The sequence below is a fragment of the Homo sapiens genome, chromosome 8 (assembly GCF_000001405.40).
Source record: "Homo sapiens chromosome 8, GRCh38.p14 Primary Assembly".
Classification (NCBI taxonomy): domain Eukaryota; kingdom Metazoa; phylum Chordata; class Mammalia; order Primates; family Hominidae; genus Homo; species Homo sapiens.
Window position 1 is genome coordinate 118,076,977 of NC_000008.11, and position 24,276 is coordinate 118,101,252.

At 40.2% G+C, this 24,276-nt stretch overlaps 1 protein-coding gene across 1 annotated transcript in view, besides 1 other annotated feature; it reads right to left on the reverse strand.

Moving 5' to 3' along the window:
* The window catches only part of EXT1 (exostosin glycosyltransferase 1), a 317,337-nt gene that overhangs the window by 282,487 nt on the left and 10,574 nt on the right, over window positions 1-24,276 (reverse strand). The window lies entirely within an intron of this gene.
* Window positions 12,642-12,701: an enhancer, noted in NCBI's record as "active region_27836". NCBI's record gives its function as "activates an Ori minimal core promoter by ATAC-STARR-seq in GM12878 lymphoblastoid cells {active_cell/tissue: GM12878}" and the evidence as "EXISTENCE:reporter gene assay evidence [ECO:0000049][PMID:35858748]".

Genomic DNA, 24,276 nt, shown 5'->3' on the forward strand with positions numbered 1-24,276 from the left:
AAATCAATCTCCAGACAGAATTTTCAATTAAAGAAACAACACACAGAAAAGTCCAAAAACAAGTTCATTTTTCTTCCAAAAAGTACATTTCAGAGTTTTTTTTCTTTTTAAAATAACATAAACAAATGATTCTACCAAGTCCAGAATTTCTAGGAGGCAAGACACAGTCCTTTCAAGGTAGTATGCTAGGAATGCCAAGAGCTCTGCTGCATATGAAAAAGGTCACCAATGAGCAAGGAGCTTCCAGCTCCAGGTATTCTCAAGCCTTCCAGGACCACCACCAGGCTTTCCACAGTCCCCTAGGCCTTCTTCCTTACTGAGGCATATGCAGCCAGGATTCAACTGAGACCAACCTGATCAAATTCCCACCAAAGGAGGACTCAATGTATATGGGAACCAAATAGAATAAAAACTGTATTTCCACAGTTATTGCACCATAGATAGCTCTCCATACACTTCTATAGCAAAAATACTAAGTCCTTACTGCTACAAGAGCCTATCCTGAAGGATCCTTAAAAGCAGCATTACCTTATTGCATTTATCATCAAAGCAGTAAACACAAGGCTTGGTACACTGGAAGTGCTCAATAACATTTGTGGAATGAAAGAACATGGCAAAAGAAATAAGGAAACCAAACAGAATTCGGCAGAAGATTTAGGTCTTAATTATTCTGAAAAGCAATAAAAACAGAATTAACCTAGGGACTCTAATAATAAATATCAAACAAAGTGACAATAAATTAACTTCACAATTAAAAAAATGTTTTTAAAGAGTTACCTTTTCTACCTAGTATTCCTGGCTAGGTCCACACTTTAACAAATATTCTTTATATTTTCATTAACAACACTTTCACATTCACTACAATTAAAATCAGTACTTACAGCCTATATTATAATTTCGATTGTGTTCTTTTTTAAAAAAAGAACATTTATGAATACCAAAATGCTTCTGTTATAATTTGAGTGCTCATTCTGTGTACTACTGGCAACAGACTATTCTTAGTAGTAATCATATTTTGTATTTCTTTATAGTTTTATTATTCAGGTGTACCTCCCTAGACACTATGATTTAGTCTTGGCCATTTTTTAAAACAAATTTTTTTTCTATTCTTTAAGTCACTTTGAATCTACATATTCCTTTTCCAACTCCTTTTTTACACAACTCACTATGTATCTGTTGAAGAAGAACAAGGGGCATTTGACCAGATTTTTCCTGTTTATTTTTATTTTATTTTATTTTTGAGATGAAGTCTCGCTCTGTCACCCAGGTTGGCGTGCAGTGGCACAATCTCCACTCACTGCAACCTCCACCTCCTAGGTTCAAGCAATTCTCATGTCTCTGCTTCCCGAGTAGCTGGGATCACAGGCACAGGCCACCATGCCCAGCTAATTTTTGTATTTTTAGTAGAAACGGGGTTTCACCATGTTACCCAGGCTGGTCTCGAACTCTGACCTCAATTGATACACCCACCTCAGCCTCCCAGAGTGTTGAGATTACAGGCATGAGCCACCATGCCCAGCCAACTTTTCCTTTTTAAATTTTACTAACAAGGCTTCCTAGGTCATGACCATTTTTTGGTGGGAAAAAAAAAAAAAAGCTTAGTCCCAAAGGTCATTCTGAAAGACATTTACATCATAAATACATACGTCATCTTTCCACAAATGAAGGGTAATTAAACAAGGGTAAACATGTAGCCTTTGGTTATGTTACATCACATACCACCATGTTGGGAAATTTTAAATTGCTCCTATTCATAAATAGGGAAATATGAGTCATAGATGTGTTTAGTTAAAAAAGATTAAGGAAAACCAAGAGTGAGACGTGCACATATGCAAAGAAAAAAAAAGTCTCAAGTGAAAGACAAATTGTTACAAAGATCAGACTTTTGAGAACACAAAGAACAGTCACACTGAATTCCATTCAAATATTAAGAACCTACCATGTGCAAAAAAAGTGCTGCAAAAACACGAGTTAAGATTTTAAGTTCCATTAAAAGAGAAGTTATGATAAAAGCACACACACTTAATGATTCCTGTTTTTGCTGTAAAAGTTCTTATATGCTATAAAAATGTTACTAAAAATACGTCCCTCATAGACAAGATTTTTCATGAGTAAAATGAACACAATTAGATATACTGACGAATCAGGAAAATAGTCATCAAAAACATTTTTTAATCAAAGTCAATTCTGCATAGGAAAAAATAATTTTAAGGGTACAAAAAGCAACATACTGAAATATTAAGGAAATTTGATCTCCTTATCTTTAAAAATAATCAACTATAGTTCAAACAAGCCGAGCAAATGGGAAGATACTAATTTTTCACCATGTCCACAAGTTGGAGGCTAATTTCCCTCTGTGCATGAAGAGTATTAATTACTCGAATAAAACCTTTTTGGTAAAGCTTAGAGTTCCTTTTGATGTCAAAAACACAGAAAGTTCAAAGGTTAGACAGCCACTCAACAGTATGACAGGCCTAAAACCTGAACAGGAAACTCATTTCTAAACTTACCCGTAAGGTATTGCAATCCTAAGGCCAGAGTGGCCAGGCATTGTTCAGCCGGCTGGTGTTTTTGTACTTTGCCTAAGGATTTATTCAGAGGGGTGACAATACCTGCCTCATCACCAAGGAGAAACATTCTTTTGGATACAAAGAATCCCAGCCATTTCTTCTAACACCGCCCCCACCCCCACCCCACCCACTAATTAGTTTCTCAACATTCTGGAAGGCCAAAGACCCTAGTCAAGTTGAATAGCCCCGGATTTAGCCCACATTATGTTCTATCTTGCACTTCACACCCCTCCCAAAATTAAAAAGAAAAGAAAAAACATGAACCACATTGGATGTAGTCAGGAGGAGGATGGCTGCAACAAGATTTACTTGGAAATAAGAAATAACTTCAATAGAAAGAAAGAAGTGGCTAATCATATAGAAAAGGTGTCATTTACAAAAGGTTACCAGAGGCATATAAACTCAGGGAAGCCAGATTTTGGCATACAGTGTGAGTCATTCCCTTATTCAATAAACATTCCCTAATGCCTCCAGGCACCCTGCTAGGCACTGGTTGAAAAGGCAAAAGTGGTCTCTGTTCCCAAAGAGTTCACAATGCAACAGGGATTTGAACTGGAAATATGAATATGAGTATCTGTTTGGTAGAGACCTCAGACAATCATCAAAGCAATAGAGAAAATGGTATGGAGGACGCCTCCACAAATTCAGATCATCTGTGTTTTCTGAGTTGTTCAGCTGATAAATGTGACTTGCCTTTTATCATCAACAAGAACTTCGTACCACCCTGAAATCTGATCAAATACTGTTTCCCTGAAATAGGAGATATCATCCATTTTTTAACCACTCAAACTTCTTCTCTTATCTATTAATTTCACCATTCTTTAGATTCAATATATCAAGTCTGGAAACTAATAGATGAATTAAGTAAATAACTGCCTTTTTTTTTTTACCTCCCATAAATTGGATCCAGTTATCAGCAAAACACTGAAGTTCCCTGAAGAAGTTCTGGTGGAGACTGAAACATTAGTTTTTAAAGGAGATTAGTTTTAATCAAATACTTAACCTTTTATATCACTTGTAGTTTAAATGGTATTCTGCAGGCGTTGGGCATAATCAAAATGAAATGCATTTTTCTCTGAAGGTAGTTCTTTTAAAACTCGGCCAATAATAATGCCTTTTAAAGTGCAAGGATTTTTGCCACCGAAAGAACCTGAGCAATGAACTTAAAACTACATTTTTAAGTATATAGATAAAAAGCATACCTCATCTATTATAATAGGTGGAGCAAGTGTTGGCCCTCCTTTACTAAATACAGAAGTCTCATACTATGAGAGGCACTTCAATGCAGTGGGAAGTCATAAAATGTGGTTCCCATTCTGGTTTCTTCACTAATTAACACATCATCTCTCCATGTCTCAGCTTCCTCATAACCCTACTCTTCAGCAGGCAGATAAGACCATTAACTCTTTTGGAGGGCTAGGGGGGAGGGTGGAGTCCTAAAATTCAATGGATAATAAAACTAGTTAATATTTAGGGAGCACTTATCTTATGCCAGGCACTGAGCAAAATGCTTTTCATTCAGTATCTCATTTAATTTTACAGAGCAGCACTAAAAAGACAGATACCAGAATCACCATTTTACCGATGAGGAAATGGGGGCTTAGACAATTAAATGACACGCAAAAGGATATCAAATACTCATAACCACTAACCTCAACCATTTCCCCAAGCCTTGAAGTTCTCACTAGGTCATGCAGGTAACCAGATTCCAACTGATTTTTAAAATACACTGTTTTCCAGAAAAAGAAACATTTTGCAGTATTTTTACATAAGATTGCTGAATGTCAATTCTGCATACTTTTGCAATAAGAAGGTTTCAATCAAACAATTTCTCTCTTTGTTTTAGCTCCAAGTAGATATACTATGCATAGATAACTGCTTCTAAAGTCAGAGCAGTGTTCTGGAATGCAGAACCAGATCATCTGCTAGGATGTACATTTTCATCCCCAATGTCTACAGAACAGGTATTTGGGGGTCTTACCTTTCATAAAGTGTTTTCATCACAGAAGCTGCCCCCAAAGAAGATGAGGAAGCAGATATCTAAATAACTGTACCTCTTCCTCAGTAGTCTTTCTGATCTTTGCCCATCTGCCTTTCATCCCTGCATATACTGAGTCCCAGGAGGAGATGGGGAAAAGGGGATTACAAAGAAATTGCCACTGTCATTTAATGAATTGATGCTGGCGTGCTTTTAATAGCCCCATTTAATTGTGCAGTCGTATTTTCTGCAGAAGCCCTCCTACCACTAATGTATTAACAGTCTCTTACCCTGCCCCGGGGAATTACAACTGCTCCATTTTCTCCTCTTTCAACCCAGTCTGTACATTATTTGCCTTCCTCTTAAAATTGTCACAAAAACCGAGAGCAAAACAAAAAATTGCAAGGTTTTAGCCAGATATAAGGTAAATATATGAAAATATGGCATTTAACTGCTGGGGGAAACAAGAGTCGGGGAGTTCTTGTAAAAGAGGAGTGTGATTAACAGTATAAAAACGATCAAGTCCTGCGGCCACAATCATGGGGACAAGAAATGTTAATTTCCCGTTATTTTAAAACCATAACATCATTGACTCCATTACAGAGAACTGATGGCAACATGTGACCTCAGACTAGGGGAAGGGGATGGATTTTCTCATCCTAAGATACTATGCCAGGCCAAAAATAACAAAATGCATTAAAAATAGCTGAAGTCTTAACTGAGGCCTGTTGTATCCAGGGATATATTTATTTCTAAACTTTCGCATCATGCACCATAACACAATGCAAAAAGAACAATTCTCATGTAAGTTTCACTATTGTCCTAAAAAGCATTGTTCTTCACATCTGAGAGGAAAAAAAGTTTCTAAAACTAGACATCATGAAAAGGCATCTTAAGATTACGGCTGGAAATCTTTTGATTTTATTATTTGGAAAATTCTAAATTTATTTTCCAATAAGATCTTTCTGTTCTTTCCCCATCATACTAATACGAATAAACCTCCCCCAAAATAAAACCATTATAAGGTGACAATAAGATTGAGTAATCCAAAACAAGGATATTTTAGCAGATGTCCAGTTTCTTTTAACAAGAAACAGATGGGCAAAATTTAAGTAAATGTGGGGTATCAATTTCTATACAACAAATGAGTTCCAAACTTACAGGTAATGCAACCCAAAACACCAGGCCAAGCTAACTATAATTATATAGTGAGCTGAACACGTTTTCTTTTAATTCCATTTCAAATGGTTTTCTCACACGTCTTTCCTACCCACATGCCCGGTGAAATCTCTGCTGGTCTTCTGGACTTCATTTTAATTTCCCTCACTCATTCTAAATTTCTTCTGAAATTGAAAATAGAGAAGAAAGAATTAAGTTTGGAGCGAGGGAAAGAAACCAGAAATTTCAGAACAGTAAGGCCAGCACTACTGATTACACTCTCTTCCAATCAGTTTCTCAATCTCTGTCACCAGGATACGCCCTGGAGTATGTACTTATAGCCCAAGACATTTTTACACCTCTTATAGTTGATTGACAAGACCAATTGACAGTTAAACTGGTGGGGCTTGCGAGATGGAGAAACAGACATATCTCCTCATTTTAAGCATACAATTTGATAAAATTCCATCTCAGGATATAATGATACTTTTAGCTAAACTCTGGTCTTGAGGAATTTAAGAACCAAATTTGAAGTTTAGACTTGTGAATGAGCCTAGGACACAAAAAGCACTTAATAAACGCATACTCAATGCCTGAGTGAATAATCTACAGAACAGTAATCTCCACAATTAAAGAACATTTATGGAAGACACTGTACTATTTAATACTCTCCATCGAGTCCCCATTGCTCCTATTATATCTGTTATGAATATATCTTCTTCTTATGTGGCTAATCACCCACCAGTCACCATAAGTGTTTAATGATTCAGGTTGTCAAGGCCAGCCTGGCCCTAATCCATATTCTGAATATAAAGAATTCAAGAACTAAACCCAGTATCATTAGGCAGACAGGTTCTCTGCCTATGCCCTAGGTGACACCTCAACACCTCTCTTCCTAATCTAGTTTAATAGGCTCCTAAGACGCCACACCCTTTCTGGTGTTCTTACTGCCCAGCACAGTCCCCAGGACATAGTAAGAAGCTCAATAGAAGTTTTCTAAACTCAAGAATCAAGCACTATTGACCAAGCTATTGGTCAATGGGTCTCAATAAGAAAAGAGGGAGGCGGGGCGCAGTAGCTCATGCCTGTAATCCCAGCATTTTGGGAGGCCAAGACGAGCAGATCACTTGGGGTCAGGAGTTCGAGACCAGCCTGGCCAACATGGTGAAACCCCATCTCTACCAAAAATATAAAAAATTAGCCAGGTGTGGTGGTGGACACCTGTAATCCCAGCTACTCCGAAGGCTGAGGCAGGAGAATTGCTTGAACCCGGGAGGCAGAGGCTGTAGTGAGCCAAGATCATGCCACTGCACACCAGCCTGGGTGATACCATCAACCAGTCTGGTAATGATTTATCTTTGACCTAGTAATCCCACTGGAGTGGATCCTGAGGAACTTATCTATTAGTTTGGAAGACAAATGAGGTAATATACAAACCACTGATCTAATCACCAAGCTCTCTCAGTCAAACTGAATGGGAGAGATTCAAGATCCTCAACTAGGACTTTTATAATAACCTAGACCAAGACTGTCTGGTGATCACAGAGTATACAGAGTTAAGATGCAAGGAACTCTCCCAAGCTAGAATAAATAGGACTTGCTAAAGTGACTATGTCCCAGATGCTACCTCCTGGGATCAACTGCAAGTCGTGTCATAGGAATTATCACAGAGCACAAAGTCTGTACTACCATAGTACTTGTCATAATGCATCTTGTTCATGCTTGGTTGTGTGCACATCCATCTCTTTCACTGGGCTGCAGGCTCAAAGACTGCAGGGATCAGATTTTCATGCAGCAATTCAACAACCAAGCAAGAAACCAAGCTGGGCATGTTATATAATTCAGTCGTTATTAAGCCTGCCTGACAGAGCATCAGGGTCACTTGTAAAACCTTCAAAACCCAAATGCCCAGAGCCCAGCTCCTCGAAATGCTGGGTCCACATATGTCAGTGTTTTGAAAAGTGCTTAAGTGACTCTGGGAGCACAGTCCAGGCTGAGACCTAGGGCATGGCATTAGGGAAGCGTTTGATTCCAGAGCCCAGTTCATGCGGTGTTCAAATCCTACTCCGCCCCTTATGCTTTGCACGACTCTGGGCAAGTCATTGAACTCAAGTCTTGGTCTCACTTTCCTCATCCGTATTAATAAAATGGAGACTGGCCTAATGTACTCAAAGAGCTTTTGCAAAAATTAGATGAAATAGTGCATGTTAAGTATACTGCCTTCTTTATCCACAGTAAGTACTTAATAGATGACAGATATTCGGGCTGGGGGCCTAAAGCCCAGTGCCTTACACAATCCATATTGTATTACAATAGATGTTTATGGAAGGAAATGGGATGAGCCTTTATGGCTAACAAGGTACAGATGTTTCGATTGTTAAGCATCATACACCATCAGGTACCACTCTTCATCCAAAGATGGTGTGACAAATTGACAAAGGGTTAGGAAAAAGTGTTTAGAGAGAGGTGGGTAAATTCAACTTGGCTATCAAATGTATATCATATAGAAACAAGGATGCTGAGGTTATTAAAATAACCTATTTGCTACAGCCTTGGTGTCTGTCCTCTCTCCCATGGGAACAATGGGAGGAAGGGTGAGCAGAAGAAAGAGTAACACCCTCCAGGTTGTGGTACTATTGTGTGTTGCCATTTTGTTATTAAAGCCATATACCATAGCTTAGGCGTGGGGGACAACAATAAGTGGCATCGGGCCAGCTTCATCAGAAGGTTAGTATTTCCTATAGATTTATGGTACCTAAAGGGTTGTTTTGTTTGTTTGTTATTGGGGCTGTTTTTGTTTTTTTTTTTTTTTTGGTTGATTGGTCATCTTACCAAAGAATATGGGAACATACTATATTCAGAGCCTACTGAAAGACAATGCCATTTTTACAGTAGAAGTCACTGGGGAAAAACAATTTGCTTAATAAACATTCACTTTACTGCAAACTTTAAGGGAATGCATCCATTACACAACTGGGAACAAGAGCCACATGTTCACATACACATATCTATCCTATGTTACTCGTGTGTGTGACGGAGGCAAAAAAAAAAAGCAGTGTTTTTACTGAAATAAAAATGTACCTGTTTTGTTGCAGAGCCTTGAAAAAGAAAAGCTTAATCCACTCTGCATTTTCACAAGCAACAAATTTTGTGTCACTGTGTATCCTCTGATAATCTATTTTAAAGGAACATTTCAAGCACCAGAAAAATAAAAGAAAAATATCCCTTAGATGAATCTGACTTGTAAATAAGGAAAGCTATTAAGTGCTTACTGTTTTTGGTCTCTCTATCATAAACACTATAAATAATCTCAGAATATACAGCTCATCTGGCCCTACTCAGCGAGGCCTCATTTTTTTAGTAAGGAAAAGCACACAATACTGGCTAATTTTCTGGTACCCAATCCTCATCTTTTAAAAATAAATAAATGAATAAAAAGGTGGGAAGAGGAACACTGTCAATCAGATAAAATAGAAAGTCTAGGAATATAAGCAAGTCTTGTGTATTGCCTATCACGTACATGGCTAGTTATATTTATTGACTGCCTAAAATTTGTGAAAGGCCACCTCCAAAATTTCTTGACATCACCAGTATTTTTATGGACTTGGGAGCCTCTTTAGGTAAACCATTTTAGGAGCAAGAGTACAGAAATAATCCATCCTGAAAATGCCTTCTAGTCTAAGCACCTGGCATAAAGCTATTGTGACCAGTGATTTCATATTATGGCCTTCCACACATAAAGGAAATGCTCTGAATCCTAAGGACTAATTGCACATCCACAGACTTCCTCTTTCAACAGAGCTTTTAATTGGGCACTTTAAGTTGCCAAGTACGTTCAAAAATGGTATTTCCAGTAAGCACGCAAAGTGATCTTGAATTGGAATATTCAGCTTCCCTTTGGATGAGGAACTGATGCACTTATTTTAAGCTGTTCATTCTCTAGTAGATGACAACATGAAGGGAGAAACCGAGAATCTTGGTCTATTTAATTCAGCTTGCATTCATAATAATATGAATGTTTCAGTATAATTTCAATGCAAAAAGATAATGTAAAAAGGGGTTAGAAATCTAAAATTAGAAACCACTACTCAAACAGGATATAAATATTAGATATGTGTACTTCTACTTCCTGTAAGCAATTAGTTTTGTAGTAGACAGAATGGGATAACTATTTAGGAGCTTAATTTTGTGTTAGACTAGGTTGTTTCTGAAACTTCCCTCCTCCAGTAAAACCCCGTGTTTTGATTCAAAAGAAAAGGGTAGATATCACCTACAAGACTCTGCAACATCACACAACCACATAAAACTGTCACCATGAAATACTGCGCTGCATGATTCTGTTACTGCTTCTTTTATTCTTGCAGCAATGGACACACAACTTCAGAGGATGAATTCGCCACTTCAAGGCTCGTGCCCAGCGCTGGATAGAAACAATGAAAACAGTCTTGGGAACAGGAGCCCCTAGGGATGTGGGTACTGCCATCCAATCTGACAGCAAATACACCTTTGAATTAATAATTTTCGTACTTCCCACACTCTGAATTTTTTTTCCTGAGATAAGAATATTCCTCTATTCCTAGAAAGGAGCCCAACCCTGAAATTGAATCCAATGCTACAAAACCATTGAATCGTTTCATCAGATATTCACATACTAAAACTAAAACTAAAACCTTAGCTTCAGATTGGAGGTACAGTTTTCAAAACAGCTATTAGACATTGTCAGGGATCTTTAACCAAGGATCAGAGCTCTACAAACCCTATAAAAACGTACGTAGAAGTTTGATGTGTACTTTTCTGGAAGGCGGTTTTAGAATCCACAGAGTGCTCTCTGACCTAAAAAAGTCAATAACCAACCATAAAGTTGTTTCTTTAATTATGCTGGGGAGAAAAAAATCATAAAGTTATGCCAGTTGAACAGAATATTGAAGGAAAACATTTTCCTTCAATCTAATGTGTTTACACAGAAAGAATTTAATGACAAACTTTTACTACAACAGAAAAAAAATTTTTTAATAAAAGATAAGTTTGATTCATGCATGTAATTGGGAAGCATTTGTTCTTATTGTTGTTACATATTAATGTACAAAGAGATTCTTTCTCCTATGAATGAACATAAAAACCTGGTAGAAACAAGCCCATTCTCAGGCTTATAAAACAAGCCTTTACAGATAATTATGTTTTATTACTCTTCATTTTATGGGGATTGTGTTATACAAAACAAATACCAGACGCCTATTTGTTTTATTCGTTTCAGGGCAAAAAAAAAAAAAAAAAAAAATCCTACAAGTGCCTCTGTGAAGAGAACTGCTTTTAATTAAACACAATGCACAAGGAGCACATAAAGTTAATACTGTTTGAAGCCAGCAGGTAGAGAGTAAATGCATTGAACAGCAACTGCTGAATCCCCCTTCTTCTCCCGGCTGCTGCACTGAAAACATTCCCAGGCTTATTACTTGGGAACTCAAATCAGCAAGGGATACTGGAACAAGGTCATTCATGGACTCATCTTGGGGAAACTAAAGCCAATGTCCATGGACATGTTAAACTTGGAAGTGAGAAAACAAAACAAAACAAAAATGTATTTTAAGGGCACCTGTATTAAACCAGACTGCACATTAACTCTTCTTTATGAAATCGGGTAGATCCCTTCTGAGCCATTTGGCTAAAGCTGTTAAGATGGAATGAACCAGGTTCATTTCTGCTACATCAAAAAATGCAACGAGATTTCTGGCACGGTTCAGACTTAATCTGCAGCCACCACAGAAGGACATGTCAAACAGTGGCTGCTATCTGATTAATATAGTAATGCTTAAAAAAAAAAAAAAGGTAGGGGAAGAAAGGGGGGAGACCTAAAGAAAAGAACAGTCAAACTAAAATTTGACAGTTTCTTCCTGACCCCAAAAAAATAAATCAGATCTGTTCAACTGTGGGTTCTAATCAGAAAGTGAAAATTCAACATGCAGCATTTTAGCCCCACAATGAGAAAAATGTGATGCCTTCTCTTTTTTTTTTTTTTCCTCTGCTTTTGTTTTCTTGTTTACTTTTGATCAAATCATGGTAAAACCCATTCACTGTCCTGGTCCTAGACTTAGATATTATCTGGCCAGTTATGAGCTGTACTCACTAGTGCCAAGAGAGAAAATAAACAGTTTGAAAGCACCGTGTGAAGTAATATGAAACAGCCTGAAATTGTATCTGGCAGCCCGCTTTCCACAAAGAATATCCATACACCTTTAACTAGTCACACTTACTTAAGGGGTCACACCCCACCTTCCGCTACTGGCATTTCTGAATCTCAGAGTAGTCTTGATTCAAGGAGAACGTGTGTTATTCTTTTACACGAGACTGATCATTTCTTGGCTAGTGTAATTCAGTCTTTTGAATAAATGGAAAAAATAAATTGTATGTTATTTTTATACAGAAAAAAAGGCCTTAATATCATAAGGTTTTTTTATAGCCCTCAAAACTGATTTTTAAATGGAGGTAGGCAACTGAGAAAATAAGCATTTAAATTAGTTTTCACCCCAAAGCCCCCCAAAATTTTGCTTACAAAATTAGGGTACTCCTCATTCTCAAAGAATTGGGGGTGAATATACAGAAAAAGACTATAATCAAGAGTGAAATGCCAAATTTTACACTCAGTTATAAACTAATCGAAGGAGCATTTTCACAGCAGACTCCCTTATAGCTGTAAAAACAGAATGAGGGAAAGATCTATATGGAGTGACATGGAATCGTGTTTGATATATGATTAATCTTCTTTTCTAATAAGAGAAATTACAAAAGAGTATATCTATGCCATGATCCTGTTTTCAAGAAGATAAACAGCATGTGCTTAGAATAAAATATATCCACTAAACTATTCAAGGTGGTTATGGGAAACAAATGATAGGGAACTTTCACTTTCTATAATGTCTGAACTCAACAATGCTACAGTATTACTTTTGCAATCTAGATTTTAAAAAATATGTCCTTTTTTAACACATTCGCCAGATTATTAAAAACCTTGGGTGTTCTCTATCTGAAAAGTGAAAGGTAAAATTGAGCTTCTGAGATGAAAACTCTTATGTGCTAGAAGGGTTTCACTTAAATGACAGTAGGAGGTTTTACATAGGATACGGGAGAGCCAGAGGACAGGAAGCATGTGTGGTGTGCGCGTGCATGAGTATGTCTGCCTGTGTGTGCAAGCACAAGCCTTCAGAGGAAAGAGGGAGGGTTACTGAAAAAAAGAGTAGCTAAAAGGAAGAAGCAGAGAGTAGGGTGAGGTGACTCAGACTGGAGGCAAGGCTTTTGTAAACAGCCACAATAAGTACCTCCGATGGTCCCTTGGTAACTGCTAGAGAGAACCTAGGAAAAAGAGGTGTATAAAATTCCATCCTTTTCAGTGGTGGTGAGAGGTGCCAGGTGCTATTCTGCAGAGAAGTGTCAACCAAAAACCTGTAAAAAAGAGCCAAGTAGGCCACAAGTGGTGGCTCATGCCTGTAACCCCAACACTTTGGGATGCCAAGGCAGGAATACCACTTAAGACCAGGAGTTTGAGACCAGCCCGGGCAACACAGGGAGATCCCATCTCTAAAAAAATAAAATAAAAAATTAGCAGGGTGTGGTGGCACACGTCCTGCTGGCACTCCAGAGGCCGAGGTGGGAGGATTGCTTGACCCTGGGAAGTCAAGGCTGCAGTGAGCCATGACAGTGCCACTGTCATCCAGCCTGGGCAACAGAGCAAGACCGTGTCTTGAAAAAAAAAGGCAAAATTGTCTAGGGATGAACCGTGGAAGCTGAAGCCACTCTGTAGAAAACCATGCATGTCCCTGGCCGGGTGCAGTGGCTCATGCCTGTAATCCCAGCACTTTGGGAGGCCGAGGCAGGCAGAACACCTAAGGTCAGGAGTTCAAGACCAGCCTGGCCAACATGATGAAACCCCATCTCTACTAAAAATACAAAAAATTAACTGCGCATGGTGGCGGGTGCCTGTAATCCCAGCTACTCGGGAAGCTGATGCAGGAGAATTGCTTGAGCCTGGGAGACAGAGGTTGCAGTGGGCCAAGATAGGGCCACTGCACTCTAGCCTGGGTGAGACAGTGAGATTCTGTCTCAAAAAAAAAAAAAAAAAAAAAAAAAAAAAAAGCATGTGCCTGATAGATGACACCACAGAATTATATCCTTGTGAATCCTGTATACACAGGTTTATACTAAGGGATCAGAGTCCAGGAAAGCTGTTTTGTACCACAGGTGGTTGGCTGAGCATGGCATGCTGGTGCCTCATTCATTTGCAGACAGTTAGCAAGGAGGCTCTGGTCCCAAGGGCACAGTCTGTCCCTTCCTTCAATGGGGCAGCTGAAACACCAAAGAAGTCAAGGAGGGGACATCTTCTATTAGGAAGTTGCTAGAGAGTTCCGCTACAATTCTCTTCAATGAGTTCACTATCTCTCAGCCTGCTCCCCAAAAGGAGACAGTTTCAAAGAACATAAACTGCACCCGGCCAAGAACCGAGGCCTATCTTAGACAATACGATGCAGCTCAAGTTCCATAAAGCAGGCTTGTAGGGATATTACAGTTATGACCAGGAACCTACTTGTAGCTAAAGTGACAATCAAAGGCATGAGTTATTTCAAAGGTGCAAATCATCATCCGATTTTGGTAAATCTCTAATTTCACTCCTACTATTTCGAACCTCAAGGAGGGTAAAATATATAGAGATATGGATATATACCTTCTAAACTTACTTTTTCTATTCAACAGTCTCTGTGTTATTACAAAAAAATAAATAAGTCGGCCGGGCGCGGTGGCTCACGCCTGTAATCCCAGCACTTTGGGAGGCCGAGGCGGGCGGATCACGAGGTCAGGAGATTGAGACCATCCTGGCTAACACAGTGAAACTCCGTCTCTACTAAAAATAAAAAGAAAAAAAAATTAGCCGGGCATGGTGGCGGGCACCTGTAGTCCCAGCTACTCGGGAGACTGAAGCAGGAGAATGATGTGAACCTGGGAAGCGGAGCTTGCAATGAGCCAAGATCGCACCATTGCACTCCAGCCTGGGCGACAGAGCGAGACTCCATCTCACAAAAATAAATAAATAAATAAATCTAACTCTCCCTCTCTCTCTCTATATATATATGTATCTTCTAAACTTACTTTTTCTATTCAACATTCTCTGTGTTATTACAAAAAAATTAAGTAAATCTAACAATTCAGATCCAAAAGTTTTTCTGCACTAAAAGGCCACCATGACCAAAAGCCACTCATTCAACAAGTATTTCTTGGAGACCCACTATAAACTCAGCACTGGGTTAAGTGCTGGGAAACAGATTAAAAACAAATATACACCATCCCTGTTCTCATGAACCTAATTGTTATTCAAGGTTATAACTAACACAAGACTTAATCTGAGCCCAAGTCGAGTATAAAGTGTGAAATATCCAAATAACTGTCATTAAAATATATTTGGAGGAAAATAATGCAGAGAAAACATTTATCAGGCACATTTTTCCACCATGAAAGGAAATGCTATATACTTTGATCACAATATTTTTTTGTCTGTCACCCTAGGTCTGTATTTGAAAAGGAGATATAGAAAACTAAAAGTCCAGAATATACCATATCTTACCTTCTATTTGGGATCTAGAATTTCTAGACTAAAGAGGAGGCTACAAAAAGTTAATCAAATATGATATTTACTAAGCACCTATCAAGCAACCTACCACCTTGGAGGTGGACTCTGGGATACAGAGGAGAATGAATCAGCTTTACCCCTGAAAGTACAGAAACCTAGACAGTTAAAAACCAAATAATTATAATGCAAGGTAGAATGAGTTAAGGTCCCAAATGGGATTCAAGGGCTACAGCCACTGACTTACTGCCCCTGTCTAAATTCCAGAATTTTCCAAGGCCCTGAAAGACATAAGGAGGACGATCCAAGCCTGAATGCCTGGACCCCTAAAATTATACAGGGCAAGAGAATACCGGGACTAGGGGGACTTTCGAAAGTCCCTCCGCACGTGTTGGAAATCAACTCTTAGATTACCATCTCACCTGCCGGTGTGGACAGAAAAACGTGTAATACAAGCACCTGATGATGAGGCTGGTGATAACCAGGGAATGCCCTAGGCTGAAGGGCAGGCCAAATCACTGCTGATTTATTCTCTGCTATCTGAAAAATCACTAGGCCATTTGTAAAACCCCCAAGGGGGACTAAAATGACAGGCTTCAAATGACAGTTCTTACACCATGTCCTGAATAGGAGCAAACTGAGAAAGCTCCCAGGCCACACCATGCCTGGGAGTTCCAAAAGTGAGTATCTTATACTTTCACAGACATGTCCCAAAAATCCAATTAATTCATCTCATCTAATTAAAGGAGTTCATTGGAAATGCAATATGGTATTTTTATCGTGCTGCTGCTTGAATCTCCAAGTCAGTGAACTAGAAGAAAGAAATTTTTATTTTGTGGAGAAGATACAAGAAAACTTTGGGAAAAGAAAGGAGAGGATACACTCCCCCCACCCCCCAAAAAAGCCCTTTATAAAACAGCCCCTTGATGCTTGGCAGAAAACAATATACACCACATGCTCCAGAAAAATTCCCAGCAAAAAAAAAAAAAAAAAAAAAAGATTTGAAATTTGAATACATGTTCCACATACAAATACAGGCCTATAATCATCATTGTGCATAACATACATACCCTGCTTCCTGTCTTGAGCCAAGCACTATCAAATTTGGGATCAGACATTCCATCTCACTTTACTTATACTTAGTGAACCATTTGCCAGAGTCTCTTTTTGAACAGTGGATGTTAGAGAACCCTCTGTATAATTCTGTAATGTATAAGAAGAATTTAATCCTGTTCTAACATGCTTTTTTTGGATATGGTGAAGTTTCAAGGAACACAGATGACCCAATGACAGCAAAGCCTGCTACAATGTGGAACTGGATAGGAATCAGATCACATCTGGATTTGGTGGCCAACACGGTATCACAGAAAGGCTCTTACAATGTGTTTATTCATAATTGCAGCTTTGTCTCCTGAGAAAAAGAATGAAAACTTAAGTTCCAATATGTCTGAATGCTCCCAGATCTTCAAATCACAGGCTAGAATTTCTTCTCTAAGTTTTACCTTGGCCCTGTTATAAGTTTATCCTCAAGGATAGGCATACACTGTTTAAACTTAACATGCAGAAACGGTGCAGAGGTCTGGGTCCTGCTGCTACTGATAATGCCATCCTCAAGAAGAAGCCATCAGTTGTTAGCAGCCCTTCAAATTGTTGAAAGTAGAAAGTCATTCACTGTTATCGCGCTTCCTGATTTGCTAAGTGCCCCTGCACGGTGGAATCACTTGCTTGGCTACCTGGATTGCTAGAAAAGAAAAATAGTTTTCCCTTCTCTATCTCGCACAGGTTTATCTCTGAAAGCTATCTCAGGTGACCGACCCCCAGCACATTTGCTACCCGTTTTAATGTTTTTTCAAGAGGCAGGAACAAGACCTCTGTGACTGCTCAGCTTCACAGAACTAGTGGGAAACATAATACTTTTGTAATAGGAGAACGAATTTTTTTAAAGACACAAAGTCATATTAATGATTTGTACTCTCGGTTGAACAACATCTGGGAAATAAAAATCTACTGTATTTTGGCAACAGTTCCAACAGGTGGTTGGAATTCTGGGCACTTGCCAAACCACCAGGAGCTTCTATATGACTGGCAAGCTAATGTACAATATTGCACACTACAATTATAATGAGCTGTAAACAGGTCAAATGAAAGAAATGAAATTAAAACCATGATAAACACATACAAACGGTAAGCCTGAAGTTACAGGCATCAAATGTAGTTTAATGGAACAGACAGAATAATAATGACAGTAACAATAGTTTCTTATTGAGTGTTTACTATGTTCCATGCACTATTCTAAGCATATTACATGTATTATTACTCATTTAATCCCTGTAACAGCAACCCTATGAAGTTGAAATTGTTATCTCCATTTTACAAGTGAAGAACGGAAACAGGGAAGCTGACCAAGGTCTCGTAGCTAGTGACAGAGTCACCATCTGAATTCAAACCAGAACCCTTATGTGTAACCTCTAAGCAATCCTCAGCTGGAAGTCAAGAGACGTGTGTTCCATTTCGGATTCGGTCACAACTACATGACCTTGGGCAAATTGCTCAACCTCCCTGGATCTCTACTTTTTGTCTACGCTACACAAGAGTTAAACTAGATTTTAGGATCACTTCCACAATCTTATTGCTCTTCTCTCCAGACAAAACTGTCTGATATCAAATATTTGGAGTCAGTTGAACACCATGCCCTCCTCCCTGAGCAAACATACAACACACATGCAGACATACATGTGCATGTACAGATGTGACAGCTTCAATCAGAGGTCTCTGTGTAGGAAAATCAGATGAGGAAAACTGAGGCCCAAAGAGGTTCAAACCTCACCAACACTCCCTATATTCTCACTTCATATTTTTCATCCAAGGGGGCTCATTTCTTAGCTTATTTTCATAGAAACCTAAGATTTGTTTTGACATCTAATCCTTTTGCCCTCTGTTATCCCTGCTTGAGTTACTCCTTAGATATAGCTAAGTCTAAACTAAGTGCAGGAAAACACTACTCCACCTTTTAACCGTACTAAGCATTGAGGTACTTAAATTTTAACTTATCATAAAATACTGTTCTTTTTTAAAAACATGTAACTCTATAATCTAAATACAAAAAATATTATACATTTCCACTCTGAATCAATAAAAGACTGACTGCCCTGCATTGACAGGTTTGCAACATTGCACTTGCATACTTAAAAATGCAGTTATCATAAAAAGTGTTGCTTAAAGGTAGCTTTTTCAATGCAGGTGTGAATTTTAAAGACACATGTAGCATATAAGAAATGGTGTTTTCAAGAAAAATTTACTCTCTGTCAGTAAAGCAAAAGCATCTCAGTATTAGATTCCCTCTGATTGAATTTTCAGATTGCTTCAGATATACAGACCTAGGAATAATTTTGGAAAATGGCCTTCCTAATCTTTTGTAAAAACATCATAAAACATAATTTCTACTTAATCAAGTGTCATATGATTGTCACCAAATCTGAATCAATTTTTAAGACCCACTAAGAAGTCAAGTCATTGCAATACAGGACACCCTCTATTTTACCTATGCACCTTGAGTACTTCTATGCAATATCCCACAGGATTCTACAAACTAAACAAACAAGCCACGATTTTAAATGGAGGAAATGGAGGCCAGCGGAAGGAACAATTGTACACCTTCCCTTTGCTTTTCCCCGCTTTGCCTTTTAATTAAATGATAAATCTCAATATGAATTCATTAGCAGCCTGATAGCTCAATTAAGCCCTGTGTTACTGCATTCTCTGGGGCAATGCTTCAATATCAGTTAGCAGAGTTTGAACGTAACCTGAGCAAAAAATGTGAGCCAAAAGTTTTATTCTATCAATCTTTTGGGAGAAAAACTACAATTAAAGGGGGGGAAGTTTCAATATCTACAGACTGTTAAATGATAAAAAGATCATAATGTTTTTTCCTGTACCAATAAATTATTTGGATTTGTGTTATGCAGCAAAACCCTTTGGTTCATTTTAATTTGGCTTCAGTGATACTTATATCAAACACAATAGTAAAAATAGAAAAAGAAAGAAAAGAGGCCAGGTGCACTGGTTCACGCCTGTAATCCCAGCACTTTGGGACGCTGAGGCAGGCGGATCACGAGGTCGGGAGATCGAGACCATGCTGGCCAACATGGTGAAACCCCATCTGTACTAAAAATACAAAAATTAGCTGGATGTGGTGGTACTCAGGAGGCTGAGGCAGGAGAATCACTTGAACCAGGGAGTGGAAGGTTACAGTGAGCCGAGATCACGCCACTGCGGCCTGGCGACAGAGCAAGACTCCGTCAAGAAAGGAAGGAAGGAAGGAAGGAAGGAGGAAGGAAGGAAGGAAGGAAGGAAGGAAGGAAGGAAGGAAGGAAGGAAGGAAGGGAGGGAGGGAGGGAGGGAAGGAGGGAAGGAGGGAGGGAAGGAAAGGAAGGAAGAAAGGATACCTTGGGGAAAAAAAGGTTCATTGGGAGAAACTTCCCATTTGAACATGACAAGAAACTCTGGGTGAACCAGCAAATGAACACAATGAACTTGGAGTAGGAACAGGAATGCCTGAGCTACAAACCAAAGACAGTAACATTTAGAGACTCCATACTTTGAATATACCATATCAACAGTAGTAACATTCCCTTCGGTTAAATAAATGTAAATTTTTTTCATTTATGCAACAAACACTGAGTGCTTCCTGTGAGTCAGTCGGGCATGGTGCTGAGGCTCTGAAGGTATAATGGTACGAGAGCTCAATGTCATTTTCCCAAGGAGGCCTTTCTTTCCCTCCATATTTAAAGCTGCAAAATTCTTCCTCATCCCCACTCCTACTTTGCATCCAAACGACCTGGTGAGCTTTTTAAAAACCTGGAACTTCGGCCGGCTGGGTGCAGCGGCTCACGCCTGTAATCCCAGCATTCTGGGAGGCCAAAGCAGGCAGATCACTTGAGGTCAGGAGTTCAAGATCAGCCTGGCCAACATGTCAAAACCTCATCTTTACTAAAAATACAAAAAATTAGCCGGGCATGGTGGTACATATCTGTAATTCCAGCTACTCGGGAGGCTGAGGCAGGAGAATTGCTTGAACCTGGGAGGTAGGGGTTGCAGTGAGCCCAGATCGCCCCACTGCACTCCAGCCTGGGCAACAGAGCAAGACTCCTTCTCAAAAAAATAAAAATAAATGAATAAAAATAAATAAAATCTGGAACTTCATCCCTAATTGGCCTGGACTGGGGCCTGGCTTTTTCAGAAGCTCCCCAGGAGAGTCTACTGTACAGTTAAGGTTGAGACCCACTGCCTTAACCCACTTCCATACGTTGCTTTACTTCACAGCATCCAGCACCTTCTAATATATGACAAAATGTGTATGCCATGATCCTCAGCCTCCAGCCACTAGGCTATGAGCATCTAGAAGGCAGGTACGTGCACCTTCTTATTCACTGTTGAATCCCCAGTGCCTGCACACCGTAGGCACTCAATAAGTATCTGTTGAGTAAATCAATGAAAAACCAACATGAATCCTCCCCTCAGGTTCTGTGCAATCTACTGGAGAGAGACAAACAAACAGCTAACTGAATGGAAAACCACAGCTGGGTGTTAAATGTTCTATATGAGCACATACCAGGAGAATTTGGCCTTGTCTGAGGCATCAAGGAAGTGACTCTGGAAGAAGTCAGATGCAGCTGGGTGCTGGCTTTCCAGAAAGTGGAAAGGAGGTGTGTGGGGAAAGCGGGGAGAAGGAGGAGGAGTGTGGCTCTGCCCTGGGGCTGGGGATGAGAAGGCAGGCAGAGCTTGCCTGCCTTAGTAACATGTGAATTAACTATGAGACACCCCCAAGGCCCATTCAAGCAGGGTGGTGATCATATTTTCTATCAGTGGCACTGTGGATGATTTCTACCAATCCGTCAGGACACTGAAATGTGTGCAGGAAGTGTGCCTGCTACACGTCCAAGCTAGGCCCCCGCTAGGAGTGTGAAATGCCCAACATACCTGCCAGGACAACCATAGGACAAGAGACGAGATGTCCCTTGTTCCCTCCTGGGCCCCTCCCTTCTCCAAACCCTAACATCCATATGCCACGCCTTAGGCAGGCAGGGCCAGCCCTAGCCCTAGGCTAGCTACTCTCTTTACCTGAGCCCACAGCCCAAGTCATTCTAGATACTAGTCCATCAAGAATAGCTAACACAGTGGCCAGGTGCAGTGGCTCGCTCATACCTGTAATCCCAGCACTTTGGGAGGCCGAGGCGGACAGATCACGAGGTCAGGAGATCAAGACCGTCCTGGCTAACATGGTGAAACCCCGTCTCTACTAAAAAATACAAAAAAAATTAGTCGGGCATGGTGGCGGGTGCCTGTAGTCCCAGCTACTTGGGAGGCTGAGGCAGGAGAATGGCATGAACCCGGGAGGCGGAGCGTGCAGTGAGCCGAGTTCGCACCACTGCACCCCAGCCTGGACAATAGAGCAAGACTCTGTCTCAAAAAAAAAAAAAAAAAGAATAGCTAGCACTACAGGCCTACACCACAGGATCAGAAAACTTACCATTTCACCTAGGTTTAAACTGATATGCATCTTGAAAACCCAGAAATCAGAGTTAGCAACAAGTAGCAGAAATCAAATGCTAACCGAAAGGAGACCCTGTCTCTCTGGAGCCTTGGCGGAAATTGCTAAAGTTGGTAGACAAGTTTTCAAATGGAGATCTTACTCTTAAGACCATCAGTATATTTTATTAATCATACGGTTTTCAAAAAAGTTATAAAACACATTACTTCTTTTTCTACATTCTTAAACAAAGGACAGTGAACACAAATGATGTTTCAGAGCCAATACTGTACCATGTTATAGTTCATCAAATATCCACAGAAGCTGTGCTTGGTGACAGGCAGGGCAGTAGGTGTTGGACTTGGAAGCACATTCATTCCTGAGGAGGGTGTAGAACACATTCTTGGGCATTGGGCCAGCTGTTCTTCAATTGCCATGGTTCTTTACTTCTTCTGGGCATTACATTTTATAATTTCCTGGCCCACTTCCTTATATTTGGGTTACCAGCTGTCCTTTCTTCCCAGTACTATCTGCAAGAATCCCTCTTTCATTTTTAAATGTACTGCTTCTAATCTACTGCAGGCTGAGAAACCAGATTACCTAACAGGTTAGAATTGTCTAACGTAAGATTAAATAAATTCTAGGTTAGAAATCCAAGTGATACTCTAGAAATCAATCATACTATTGTTTGTGAGTGTGTGGTCTTTATGACATCAGTTCCAGCTGTTCAAAAGCAGTACGGTGCTGTGGTTAAGGACACAGGTTCAAAAGTCAGAGGGCCTCAGTTCATCTGCTATGTGTATGCTCTTAGGCAAACCACTTTTAAAGACTGTCTGCTTCAGTTTCTTCATCTGTAAAATGGAGATAAAATGGGTATCTTCCTGCTAGGTGGACATAAAGATTAAAGAAGATACTTCTCATTACCCTGCACATAGGATGTGCTTAGATATGAGTTGCTGTTGCTGTTATCCTCACATAGGATGCCCTCAGATATGAGTTGCTGTTGCTGTTATCCTCATCATCAACTGGGGTCAAATATGTGCATGCCAACAGGATATGGCTTCAACAGCGCCTGCCACAGCCAACTTCCCCTAACCACAGTCCTCTGTTGCAGGAAGCAACTTTGGGCTGTTTTCACAAGAGGATGACCACCAAGTAAATCAAGAGTGGCAACATGACAGGGCAGTCGTTTCACTGACCAGGTCACCACCATACCCAAGACGTGGCCTAATATGAATGGCTCTCCCCAGCAAGCAATGCTTACTGGAAAAGTCAATCCGACTGGTCTCCTCCAGGCCCTGGACGAGAGAATTCAGGAAAGACTGGCCAGTGGTTGGAAGACACACACAGGGCCAGAGATGCTAGCCAAGCAAGACATGAAGGCATAGAGCAGGAACAAAGGAGCCTGGCCCAGGTATTGTGGTGGGTCCTGAGAACTTACGAGAGCAGTTTCAGTTCAGTTTCTGCCCCATGTCCCCTCACAATAAATCCCAAAACTTAAGGTAGCCCAAATGATTTTCGGCTCTTTGCAACATAAGGGCCTGCTGAACCGGCCGAGGGAGGCTTCCCAGTAGCTGAGCTCCACTCACACACGGTGTCCCTCCAAATGTTACCCTCAACTGGCGAGGACTTAAAAGTCAATTGGAGGCGGGGTGCGGAGGCTCACACCTGTAATCCCAGCACTTTGGGAGGCCGAGGCAGGTGGATCACGAGGTCAGGAGATCGAGACCATCCTGGCTAACACGGTGAAACCCTGTCTATTCAAAATACAAAAATTAGCTGGGCATGGTGGCATGCACCTGTAGTCCCAGCTACTCAGGAGGCTGAGGCAGCAGAATCGCTTGAACCCAGGAGGCAGAGGTTGCAGTGAGCTGAGATCGCGCCACTGCACTCCAGCCTGGCGACAGAGCGAGACTCCATCTCAAAAAGAAAAAAAAAAAAGTCAACTGGAAAAGAGATCACCTGCATTAATAGAGCAGTCAACCTGGGAACCTGAAGGCCATGGAGTCAAGGAAGTATCTGACTGCCCCAGGGATCCCCCTCAACTGCTTCCACCCCTACCCCACACACATGCAAGCCCCAGCTTGAAGACCCCTGTAGGTCTTTACAGAAACAATGGCTGGACTTCCAGGGCACCTACCACAATTTCCTGAGGACTTAAGTATCAAAGTAGAGATAAGTTATTGCTGTGGCTTAGTTAGGAAGAGCTAAGTTTCGAAACTAAATGAACCTCTGTTGTTGATTAGGAAATAGCAGGAAGATGAGTTTAATAATACCACCACCCTGTAGAACACATTAATGTTTACAAGGTACAGTCTCACATACTCCACCTCATTTGACCTTCTTAACGACCCTATGAGACCAGTATTATGATCCCCATTTCCAGATGTGGAAACTGAGGCTGAGAAGTTAAAAACCTAGTCCAGGAACT